At 34.5% G+C, this 13,136-nt stretch overlaps 1 protein-coding gene across 2 annotated transcripts in view; it reads right to left on the bottom strand.

Moving 5' to 3' along the window:
* Positions 1-13,136, bottom strand: part of CNGB3 (cyclic nucleotide gated channel subunit beta 3) — a 169,456-nt gene that overhangs the window by 58,832 nt on the left and 97,488 nt on the right. For both annotated transcript variants that reach the window (NM_019098.5, XM_011517138.3), the window contains 2 exons: positions 11,612-11,676; positions 10,741-10,863 (listed from right to left, as the gene is read on the bottom strand). In NM_019098.5, coding sequence (NP_061971.3) covers positions 10,741-10,863; positions 11,612-11,676 — 188 coding nt within the window. The remainder of the gene's footprint in view (positions 1-10,740; positions 10,864-11,611; positions 11,677-13,136) is intronic.

A 13,136-nucleotide genomic window follows, 5' to 3' on the forward strand; every position in this document is an offset into this window, starting at 1 on the left:
TTCTCTAGACAGCACTGGCAAACAGCATGTGTGCTAATGTAAACTTCTTAATAAATGCTGTGAAATGATGAAACAAGCCCAAGGAGGGTGTTTACTAGCCGTTACCAAAATTTGGTAGTCTAAATAACCACCATTTTTATTAGGCTTATAGTTTTATGGGTCAGAATTTTGTGCAAAGCCCAACAGAGATGACTCATTTATGTTCCATGATGACCGGGCCCTCAGCTGGTATGAGTTGAATGGCTGGAGATATCTGGAAAGATTTGATTGAAACCAAATGTCTGAAACCTTGATTCTGACTGTTGGCTGGGTTCCCCTGTTCCTTTCCACATTATGTCCTTTTGGAATGCCCAAGGTAGCTGCTTACCTCACATGTCTGATCCTGAGCTGGGAAGATTGGAACAGTAGAGGGTGGCTGGGTATCTTTTTTCATTCAGCCTCTCAATGTGACTAGCTTGGGCTTCCTCATAGCATGGATGTCTAAGGTAGATGGATTTTTACATGAGAGCTGTTTTCCCCCAGAGCAATAGCAGCCCAGGTGGTAGCTGCCAGGTTTCCTATAACTTAGAAGCCCTATATCATCTTATAGTTGTCACATTGTATTTGTCAGTCAAGTCACTAAGGCCAACCCAGGTTCAAGGGAAGAGACATTTGAATCCACCTCTCAATGAGAGAAGCAGCAAAAATTTGAGGCTGTTTTTAAACTACTACACTATTGATTTGTGGGAATATTATAGAGATCAAATGTATTTATGCAGATGAGAGAATCTTCTATAGTTTAGATCCAATTGTTTTTACTAGTGGAAAACAGAACAGATGAATATCTCTTCTATTTTTCACCCACATATTATTATATTATTGAATACGTAAACCATGGCAGAGACAGAGGAGAGCTGAGCTCCATCTTAATAGGGAAATTACTGTTGATTGTAATGGGCAACTGATCTAGAAATTTGGTATTGAAGAAAATCAAGTATGCTCAGAAATGTACTTGATAAAATTTCTGTACTTGAACAATTGCAAATGAAGAGGCTGAGGTCATTACAGACCAGATAGGAACAGGATGAGAAAAGAATATGATAAGGATTAGTAAAGAACATATAACATTTACTTAGCTATCCAGAGAGTCCTTAACATACTATGGTTTGATTTTATGATGGCATAAAAGCAATATCCATTCAGTAGAAACCATACTTTGCATACTCATACAACCATTCTGCTTTTCACTTTTAGTATGGTATTCAATAAATTACATGAGATATTCAACAATTTATTAGAAACTAGGCTTTGTGGTAGATGATTTTGCTGAACTGTAGACTAACATAATTGTTCTGTGCACATTTAAGTTAGGTTAGGCTAAGCTATGATGTTTGGTAGGTTAGGTGTATTAACTGCATTTTTGGCTTGCAATATTTTCCCGATAGGTTTATTGTGATGTAACCTCATCAGAAGTCAAAGACATCTGTATATATATTTCATAATTCTTGTGCACTTAGGCATACTATCTGGTAATTCTACATAGCTCTGATAACTTGGTCTGTATCAAGCATTTCCACTGAATCCTTTAAAAATGTCATTTATATAAAGAACGTCTCCAGGTTTTGTTACAGAGGGACATTAAGATTTTGTGTGTCCCAACTAGCTATTTCAGCATCTTGTACAGACACAGAAAAGGAGTACTTTTTACGGAATCCTGCCCTAGTCGAGCTTTTATTTCTTATCTAGGTATGCCACATATAACATTAGCACTTTGGGTAACTGGGCACTAAGCTTTGAACAAGGGTGGTCTTTTCTTGTAAAAATAGTTTGAGATTTTAAGATCTTCAAATAGTAAGAAGTTGAGGTTTACAAAGAAAGAAAGAAACTGCAGTTGAAGTTAATATTCAAATAAAAACAGATCTAGAAAGAAATTACTCATTTTGAAATTCAATACCTTTTGAAGGACATAGGACTCTTTTTTTTTTTTAACCTAGTTCCTTGTTATAGGAACAGAAAAAATAATGAACTCTTTGGTAGGGCTTGAAAACCACTATGCCAAGAGAATAAAAATGTTACCACTGTATAATTTTTTTCTAGCAGTCTTCCTTGGACTTACTAATATCATAGTGAACTTGATGTCAAAGAGAACCACCTTGAAGAAGTCTGGAATTAATTTTATGGATTGCATTTTAACTTTTCAAATTCCAATTTATAATTTCCTATTACCTGATTTATTTTGGTCACCGGTTTTGGACCTGTGGGTCTCTTTAAATTAAGGAAATTTATTAAACCTGACATTACCCAAGAGTGAAGAGAAACAAGATTCTCTCCCAACATGGTCAATTCCATGATAAGTGTTGGGATTACTTCCCCTCCAAAGTCACTCAAAAGTTTGTCCTACTTTAACAGGAACAAACATAAGAATTACTTTCTCCCATTTTCTTTTTTATGATTTTAAAAAATAACAATCAAATGTAAAATTTTGGCATGGATTTTCCAAATCTCAAGGGTTTGGCTTGAACAATTTTTTTTATATTAAATAGTCTGCTATGTTAATTGGAAGTTTTCTGCCCTGATGCTTTGAGATTTATTTTAGGATTCTTTTCTCAGTCACATCTTACACCTAGACATGCATAACCAAAGGTAAGATTTGTAATTTAATTAGATGACCTCTTATGGATTTCCTAAGATTAGCTTAATTAGTCAAGTGTGTCCATCTCTAATATCTACATCCCAGTCAGATAGATCTTTTCAAAGAGATTCTATCTGGCTGGATTAACACATGAAGTATCTAATTATTAGCTATACAATGCATCAACTGTATAACACATGATATATATATATATATATATATATATATATATATATATATATACACATACACATATACTTAGGCATACTTAAAGCAGTAAGGCAGGATTTGACATAAAGCCATAAAAATATTTAGTATGAAAATAGAAAGCCTTTCTCTGTGAAACAAACATAACATGCAATTTCCCCCAATATATTTTTATGAAACATTTTAAACAAACAGAAAAATTAAAAGAATTTTACAGTGAACACTCACATGCCCACTGCCTAGATTCTACCATTAACATTTTACTATGCTTGCTTCGTCACATATTCCTCCACTTATTTATCAATAAAACCTTCTTATTTTTTGGATGTATTTCAAAATAATTTCTAGACAGCCAGAAACTTTCTCCTAAAAACAGTACTTCAGAATATATATGTTAACTGGAGTTCAGTATTTGTTTAGAGTTATGTTTTATTTTGAATATACAGTTAAAGCACTAATGAGGCCGGGCATGGCGGCTCACACCTGTAATCCCAGTGCTTTGGTAGGCTGAGGCGGGTGGATCACTTGAGGTTGGGAGTTTGAGACCAGTCTGGCCAACATGGTGAAACCCCGTGTCTACTTAAAATACAAAAAGTAGCCGGGTATGGTGGTGGGTGTCTGTAATCCCAGCTACTCAGGAAGGCTGAGGCAGGAGAATCGCTTGAACCCGGGAGGCGGAGGTTACAGTGAGCTGAGATGGTGCCACTGCACTCTAGCCGGGGTGACAGAGTAAGACCCTGTCTCAAAAAAAAAAAAAAAAAAAAAAAAAAAAAGGCACTAATGTTAAGTAAGACCATTTGGTGAATTTAAAGAAAGTACAGTATTATCTATAGGCATTATGCCATACAGTAGATTTCTAGGACTTACTCATTTTGCATAATGGAAGCTTTGTACTCCTTGACTTACACTTCCCCATTATCCCTTTCCTCCAGCCCCTGGTAACCCCCATCCTACTCTCTACTACTACGAAATTGACTCTTTTAGATTCCACATACAAGTGAGGTCATATGAGGTCAGACGGTATTTCTCTTTCTGTGTCTTGTTTATTTTGCTAGGCATAATGTCCCCCAGCACTATCTATATTGTCACAAATGGCAGAATTTCTTTCATTTTAAGGCTGAATGATATTCTATTATATATGTGCATATTTGCCATATTATCTTTATCCTTTCATTAGTTGAGAGAAATTTAGGTTCCTTCCATGTTTTGGCTATTGCGAATAATGCTGCAATGCTGCAATGAACATGGGAGTGCAGATGTCTCTTTGAGATACAGATTTCAATACCTTTGGGTATATTCACAGAAGTGGCATTGCTGGGTCATATGGTAGTTATTTTGTTCTTTTGTTTGTGGATATCCAGTTTTCCCAGTACAATTTATTGGAGAGACTATCTTTCCTCATTGCATATCCTTAGCACCCTTGGACAGGCAGTTGACCATCTATGTATTCATTTATTTCTGGGCTCTCTATTTTGTTTCATTGGACCATATGTGTGTTTTTATGCCAGTTTCATACTGTTTTGATTATGGTAGCTCTGTGATATATTTTGAAATCAGGAAGTGGGATGCCTTTGGCTTTGTCCTTTTTGCTCAAAATTACTTTAGCTATTCGGGGTCTTTTGTGGTTCCATACAAATTTTTGGATTTTTTTCTGTTCCTGTAAAAAAATCATTGAGATTTTGATAGGGATTGCATTGAATTTATAGATCATTGTGAGTAGTTGGGACATTTTAACAATATTAATTATTCTAGCCCTTGAATACAGATGTCTTTCAATTTATTAGTTTCTACTTTAATTTTTTATCAGCATTTTGCAGTTTTCAGTGTACAAGTCTCACACCCCTTTGGTTAAGTTTATTCCAAATATTTTATTCTTTTTGATGCTTAATTTCCTTTTCAGAGAGTTTATTGTTAGTGTGTAGAAATGCTACTGATTTTTGTATCATTTAATAAATTTTGACAAATGCATATACCTGTGTAACAAAACACATGTTAAGACATAGAGCCTTGCCATCACTTTAGAAAGTTCTCTCAATTCTTTTCCCAGTCAATCCTTACTCAAATGCGCCAGAGGCAATCACCTGTTCTAATTTTTTTCTACCGTGGATAAGTTTGCCTGTTTTAGAATTTCACATAAATGAAATCGTACAGTATATATGCTTCCGTATAAGATGTCTTTTACTCAGTATGGTTTTGAGAGTTATTTATGTTGTGTATTGGTAATTTATTCCTTTTTATTGCTGCATAGTATTCATTGTATCTTTATACCACAGTTTGTTTATTTATTCACCTATGGATGAATACCTAGCCTGCCTCAAGTTTTTGGTTTTGATGAATAGAGCTTCTGTGAAAATTCTTGAACAAGTTTTATTCTGTGAACATATATTTTCATTACTTTTGGGTAAAATACCTACATTGGAATTTTTGAGTTGTAGGGTAGTTGTGTTTAGTTGTAAAATAAACTGTCAGATCTTTTTCCAATATGGTTTTATCATTTCACATTCCCTCTAACAATATGTGAGTTCCAGTAACCCCATGTTATCCTAACACCTGGCATTGTCATTATCCCAGCACTTGGTATTGTCAGTCTTTTAAATTTCAGCCATTGTGGTAAATCTGTAGTGGGACATGCAATTTTTAAAAGTACCCCTTCTATACTTATCTTTCTGTGTGGACCTTCCTAACTACCTCAATCCATCTTAGTCCCTAGTTTCTGTAAACTTATTACTGGAAGCAATGGCTATGAGGGAGAACGGTCTTATTAGAATGTAAGTGCTACAAAGGTAGGTGTTTATGGGCCTAGTAGCACACAATAGGAATTCACTAATATTTGTTGAATGACTGGAATGGATGAGTGAATGCATACCTAGACTTACTGAAATGAGAATGTAGGAAGACTGTATCTGTGAACACATCTGTTGAATCTCCTTCTGAACTCTCCCCTGTCATGCTTCTCACTGACCTTCACTTCCTTCTGATCCACTGATTCTTTGCTCTGGGTTTTTTTTTTTGTTTTGTTTGTTTGTTTGTTTGTTTTTGTTATATTCCAAGGGTGACCCTCTAGGAATTGTAATATAAATATCCTCCCTCTTCCTCTCCCTTTCCCCCCTCCTCCCTTTCCTTCTCTCTCTCTGCCATTGTCTGATCTCAGCTATGAGGTATCTAGGACATCCTGAATAAATATTTTCATCTACCTAAGTCTCATCATCTTTATCTGTAAAATTGAGAAGGTGGATTACCTAAATTTTTCTAGCACTATGGTATAGTAATTCTGATTCCTTCCTTACATCAACTAAAGTCAATAATTCCCATGATGCCTTGTTTACTTCTCTTTTTTTCAAAGAAGATACATTAGGGACTGGGACTGTGGATTTGTTAAAAAATTTGTGCACAGTGGGAAATTTATGTCAGAAAATACATAAAATTGGGATATATGTGGACAAAAATACATTGGGAACATTTTTAAGTATCACATAATCTTAGGTACTTACTTGTGTTCTCCTTTTGAACTAAATATTTGCATTCTTTCTCACATTTTACAGTCTAAAGAAGGATGTTATTCACTCAATATAAATAAAAATGCCTTCTATTGATGTGAATAGAAATTGCTGTTCTGATGAGAATTAATGGAATCATAATAAACTTGACTTATTTTAAATGTTCACAGTGTTCCATTTATGCCCCACAGTCTGCTGCCTAATTCTAACTAGGTCAAAATTTGCAAATCCAAAGGCCTAATGAGCAACCTTCAATTTATAGGTCACCAGGACCATCACAAGGGTTAAGTTAAAAAATAGGTAATTATTGCAAAAACTTGGCTTACAAGATCAAAGGGTAACATGAAGCAATAGAAGGAGAAATTGATGTTAAAAAAACTATTAGGATAAGTATACTAGTAACTGACATATGCAAATTATCTAAAAAGATAAGTAAAGAGGCTGCTTTTAAAAGCATTTTCATTGCAAGGGTGGCAACCTGTGTCCCTGACAGTTGGTAACAGGATTGTTGGAGCTTTGGTTTTGAGTGAGAATGCTTCAGTCTAAATGAGCAGAGCAGAGCTGATGGGGTAATATTTATAGTCAGAGAATGTGAGTTGTATGATAACAAGGCTGTGGAATTTATCGAAACTAGGTTTGGGCCTAGAAAATGATCACTTTTAGTAGTTTTTCTGTGAGTGATTAAGAAAAATGGGTAGTTTCTAATCCTTGGGTGCAAGATTCTGTTTGTACCCATGAAATCAAGCTTGTTATTTGGGTTATCAAATCTTTTATATGTTTATTGTTTCTGGTTACTTGACCTGTCAATAATTATGTTTGGTGTCTCACACTTTGATGATATATTGGCCAATTTCTCCTCCTTCTATCAATTTTTGCTTTATGGTTTTCTTTGAATGATTGTAAGTATTTTATTGGGTGCATACACATTTAGAATTGGAATATCTTGATGGTAGTAAATAAAATTTATAGGAGGCCATTGGTTTGGACTAAACTCTTGCACTAGGCCAAACAGACCAAAGCAAAATGGAATTACTCATGCTGAAGTTCTATGTCACCAAACTGAAACTAAGTTGTTTATCTGCCATTCCAAGAAATCAGGAGAGAGAGAAAGAGAGATAGCTAAATCCCCAAACTAGCCAGTTTTATCCAGCATGGTAAGGAAGTCCCCTCTACTTTAACCTTTAGAGGGAAAGTAACTTTGAAATGACCAGTCCGTTTTTGTTCTCTGTTTCTGCTTTCTTCAGCCCTTTTCTGCCTATGAAGCCAACCTCCTTTGCTCAGCTCATCAGAACACTCATTTTATTTTATAGAATTGAGGTGTTGCGTGATTCTAGAATTGCAAATAAAAGCCAATTAAGATCATTAAAATAAATTTGTTGTAATTTTGTCTTTTGACAATCATGAATCAAAACTTTTATCATTATATGGTGAACTTTTTCTCTAAAATGGTTTTGTTTTAAAGCTTATTTTGACTAATGTTAATTGACAATCTCTATTAGCATGTGAGTTTAGTTCACATTAATTTACTGCACATATTTGTCAGAGGTGTTTGAACCAGAGTGACTCCCTCTTGAAAAGGGGCTGGGTAAAATAAGGCTGCGACCTACTGGGCTGCCTTCCCAGGAGGTTAAGCATCCTAAGTCACAGGATGAAACAGGAGGTTGGCACAAGATACAGGTAACAGAGAGCTTGCTGATAAATTAGGTTTCAGTAAAGAAACTGGCCCAAATCCACCACAACCAAGATGGCGATGAAAGTGAACTCTTGTCATCCTCATTGCTCATTATACGCTAATTATAATTCATTAGCATGCTAAAAGACACTCCCACCAGCACCATGACAGTTTACAAATGCCATGGCAATATCCAGAAGTTACCCTATATAGTCTAAAAAGGGGAGGAACCCTCAATTCTGGGAATTGCCTACCCCTTTCCCTGAAAATTCATGAATAATCCACTCCTTGTTTAGCATATAATCAAGAAATAATTGTAGGTATTCTAAGCAGTCCATGCCACTGCTCTGCCTATGCAGTAGCTATTTTTTTATTTCTTACTTTCTTAATAAATTTGCTTTCACTTTATTCCATGGACTTGCCCCAAATTCTTTCTTGCACAAGGTCCAAGAACCCTCTCTTGGGGTCTGGATCAGGACCCCTTTCTGGTAACATACTGATCTATTTTAAATTGTCCTTACCATCTTATGTTGTGTCTTCTATTGTCCTGCCTTTCCTGTACTTCTCCCCAAAACTGCCACTCCTTATCTTTGTGTCTTTTTTTGGACTGGTTTGCTTTTTAAATTTCCTTATTCATTTTTTTTTCCCCTTATACTAATTTAGAAGTTATTCTCTCTATTTCTGTTCTTTAGTGGTTACTCACACTCATTTTCTATTGTACTCCAGGTTTGGTACATATGTTTGTGTTTTAGCCTTTGGAGATACTTCTTACTTTCTAGGGAACTCAGCAATCACTGAAAACTGTTGTAATTGTATTCATTTAGAAACTTATAACAAATAATTATAATAAGTAACTTAACAAAATTACAACAGGTAATTTATCTTGCATTTTAGAGAGAGTATCTTGGCTACCTGGGCTATGATGTAGCTGGAATTAGAAATCCAAAACACTAGCACACTTGAAGTTTCTTATGGGCTAAAGCTGAGATTTCTTTCTTCTTGTTACAATGCAGATTTGGCCATTCCTTTCGTTTTTCCTTACTCCCCCTCTCTCTTCCTGCTTTTATATACCTATATATTGTCTATTATTATATACTTAACACTGAGCTTAACACTGGGAACAAGATATAGTCCCTAGAAACTCCACAGAGAGGCGTCTAGGTGTAAAAGGAGAAATAGCTTCACTTTCTGGAAGGCATTCTGATGCAATCCTATATTGTTTTGCTAATTTGAAAAAAACAGCTATCAGCCACAGTCATCTAATGATGTTGGATTACATATTCACTTTGAGGCAATTTTACTGTAGCTGGTATTTTAGTCAATTTTTAGATAAATTAGTTGTTTATATCAAAGTAAATAATTCACATTCTAAAGGGAATTATTTATTTAGTAAATTTTCTGGAAATTGAGTGTCTGTGTGTGTGTGTTTCCCAATCAGTGGTCCTTCTGACTTTAAATTCTTTAAAATCGGTTCTGGTTGTTATAATCCCTTATACATATCCAACTCACTCTAGGTAGTATGTAATTTTGTAAGTTATTTTCCCTCTCTTTGCTCTATCCTATAATTGCTCTCCATCCCAAGGCTGCAGTGAGTTGCCCTTCAAAGTAATGCTGGGACCTGCTTTTTTTCCAGTTTGGACATTGCCTTATTATATGTTCAATGTCATTTCACTGGAGCAGAAAGTTAGTGAAGTCAACTTTATGCCAGGTCTTTGTATTTTACCAAAAGGAAATTTCACTATTAAATAACCCAGTTGCCATTTCTGAGTCCTGATTCTACTGTTCTAAATTTTTCAAGTGATCTTTTTTTATTTCTGGGACACTTGCATACCTAATTGTCAAGTTTAATTTATGATCCTCGTTACTCTCTAAGTGTTTAATTGAGTTAGTGGTTATAGCTGACTCATAAACCCATAAAACCCTTCACTGGTAAACTAATTAGCCACTGCACCTGCCCTTTAAATAATTAACATTGTTCATTACTAACAATCGGCATCGGAGTTATTAAAAGTTACCTTACTGCTCAGTTGTCTAGAGGCTTTCAAACTTTTTTGATCATGATCCAGAGTAAAAAATGCATTTCACAGGCCAACTCAGGATACACACACACACACACACACTCCCCTACTATCTATCAGACTCTGATATTTTCTATTCTATTATTCTCTATCTTCTTTCATTTAAAAATGTATTGACTTACTAAAGAGGTTTTTCAGCTTAAAAATTTTTATTTAGACCAATTCATGGGGTACTCATGCAATTTTGTTACATGTATACAATGCATAGTGATCAAGTCAGGGTGTTTAGGGTGTTTATTACTCGAGTACAATACATGTTTTGAAACTATAGTCACCCTACTCTGTTGCAAACGTTGAATATATTCTTACTGTATGTTTGTATCCTTTAATCCACTTTTCTTTATGCGCTCCTCTCCCCACCACTCACCCTTCCCAGTCTCTGTTATCTTTCCACTCTCTGTCTCTATGTGATCAAAATTTTTAGCTCCCACATATATGTGAGAACGTGTGATATTTATCGTTTTGGGTCTGGCTTATTTCACTAAGATAATGACCTTCAGTCCCATCCATTTTGGTGCAAATGACATGATTTTATCCTTTTTTATGGCCAAATAGCATTTACCAGCCATTGAATGGGTTATGACAGCTTCAAAAACACTGGCTCTCATAAATTCATACAATGAAACAGAATGTTAAAAATAATCAATAAAGGTTTCTTTCAAAATCAGAACTTACTCGTTTCCTTCCCCATCATACACCCATCTAGTAGTGCCAATTCCTTCATAGTTTGAAGCCCAGTAATAAACACAGGCATTAATGTGCAGAATAAACAGCAAGTATCCAGTTGTTCGAATAACTCTGTCAGAGAGAATAGATGCAAAGTAAGATTCATGTTGTTTCTGAAATACAGCCTATTTTAACATTTTCTTTTCCTTAAAGTCACCAGCGAACCCCTTGCTTTGGATTTGTGAACTGTTAACTCTCATTAGTACAGTACAAAGTGATGGTGCCATTGCATGTTTTCTGATGGCAATGTCTTGACTGGGATTGACAGAGTGTAAAGAAAAAAAAAAGAAAAAGAAAACTTCCTCTCTTTTCACAGATGTTGTGAGTCAACTCCGTGAAAGACATGCCTCAAAGGTCACTTCTTCAGTTTAAGTCCCATAAAATACACTATGCTAATTTAACTGGATATCTCTGAAAAGCTCATGAGACTTTATGCTACGATGAATGGCAACTAGAGGTTTCGGTGCAAGTAAAATTTAGAACAACAAACGAATGAAATTCAGATTAGGAATGAATTATCATGAGAAAGGTTTAAAGTTAACTTGCAAAAGAGTATGTTTTTCTGTACTTGTTTTGACAGAGGCAGATAATAAGTCCTATTTTCTTAGTCCAGTATTCTAAAATCTGATATGATTTTCATACTCTTATTTCACTTAAAATATCCACATCTGTTCTAGAACATAGTCCTATATTTTATATAGCCAAAGCTGAAATTATATCCTTTTTTTGAAGAGGGGGGTCATATCCCTGCCAAATTCCGTCTAAAATGTTGTACCATTGCTTTTTCCCCTTCCCCCAAGTATACTGAGTTATACTTTACCTGTAGATATATGCTTTGTCCATTATAGACTCTAGGTGATGATTAAATTCAAAAAATGAAGTGTACTATATAGAAAAGCAAAAGAAATCCAAAAGCATGTTAGTCTTAAATATATATATTTAAATAAAACTATATGAAATAGATTTTATTACTGAAAATAATTTCATTCATATGTCTTTTTAAAAAAACCAAGATCCTGTTTAGTGATATTTTCCTCTGGACAGTACATTTTATAGCATGGTATTATACTTCCAGAGCTTTATTTTGCTTTATTTTATTGCTACCCTGTAGTTATAGTCTTATTTTTAATGTTTGTTGAAAATGAAACTTAAAAAACATTGTTTTCCTTTTTGTTTTGAAAGCATGTAGTAGAACTCTGTTTCCCAACAATTAAAGTCACACTCTCCAAAAACATACATAAAAGAGGAAAAGTATAATGCATTAAAGTTATAAATAGATGTTAAGTCTTATTGCTCAACACTAGCATTATTTTTCAGTAAATTGCATTAAATGTGTATTTGTTTAAACAAAATTTAAAGTTCAGTAAGTATTAGCATTGGCCGTTCTTGACATTATTCAAAGATACAAAGAGTTTATGTGCATCTGATACAAGCAGAGTTACTATTTCCCTCAAGGTTTTTTCTTGCTTGCTTCTACTTTTATCTCAACCTTTTCTGCCTGCATGCACTCCTACTTCCTACTTCCTACTTCCTACTTCCTCTTTTGTTTCTATAGGCAGTAAAGTATGGAATCCAGAGCAAAATGCCAGTTCTATCTCTACCACTTACTACTGTGTAACTGTGGAAAAGTCTCTTGCTATTTCCGTGTCTTGGTTTCCTCATCTGTAAAATGAGATCAATAAGAAAAGATGCCCCCCAAAAGGGTTGTGTGCATACATGAGTTAATATATTTAATGTGCTTCAAATCATAGACTCTTACAGATAGAAGGGACTGCAGAGATTACTTAGTTCAAAATTTTGCCCAACGTAGATATGACTGCAATAGAACGTTTAGAATTAAAAATAGTATATGTAATAGTAATGACTATTTAACTAGAAATATACACAAATGATTTGTTTTTTCCAGAGTTCCTAAGTAGGAAAAAACTTCTTAAACACTCAGATTATAATTTAAATGTGTGGTAATTTGTTTATTGTGCTCTTAATACAAGTTTGCACAAAGGCATGATTTTAAATTTAGCTTAAGTGTTCACTAAAAATAAAATGTATATTCATTTGTTTTCTCATTTATAACTTGGAGACATATAGATGATAAATATTTATCCTAGGGAATTGTGCATTAAGATGACACCCTTAAAAATAAGTTATATGAATGGACTATGGGGCTTTGAAAAGAAGATTAATGTTGACTGTCAGGATCTCCTATATTTAAACATCTAATGGATAGAGAGGGCTTTTGGACATTTTAGGTTACAGAGATGGGGAATGAAGAGTTGGCATTTTATAAGCTTTTATCATAATGCCAGATAAACTCCTAAATCTATAGAAACCTGAGAATTTCTGAA

The sequence above is a fragment of the Homo sapiens genome, chromosome 8, assembly GCF_000001405.40.
Source record: "Homo sapiens chromosome 8, GRCh38.p14 Primary Assembly".
Classification (NCBI taxonomy): Eukaryota; Metazoa; Chordata; class Mammalia; order Primates; family Hominidae; genus Homo; species Homo sapiens.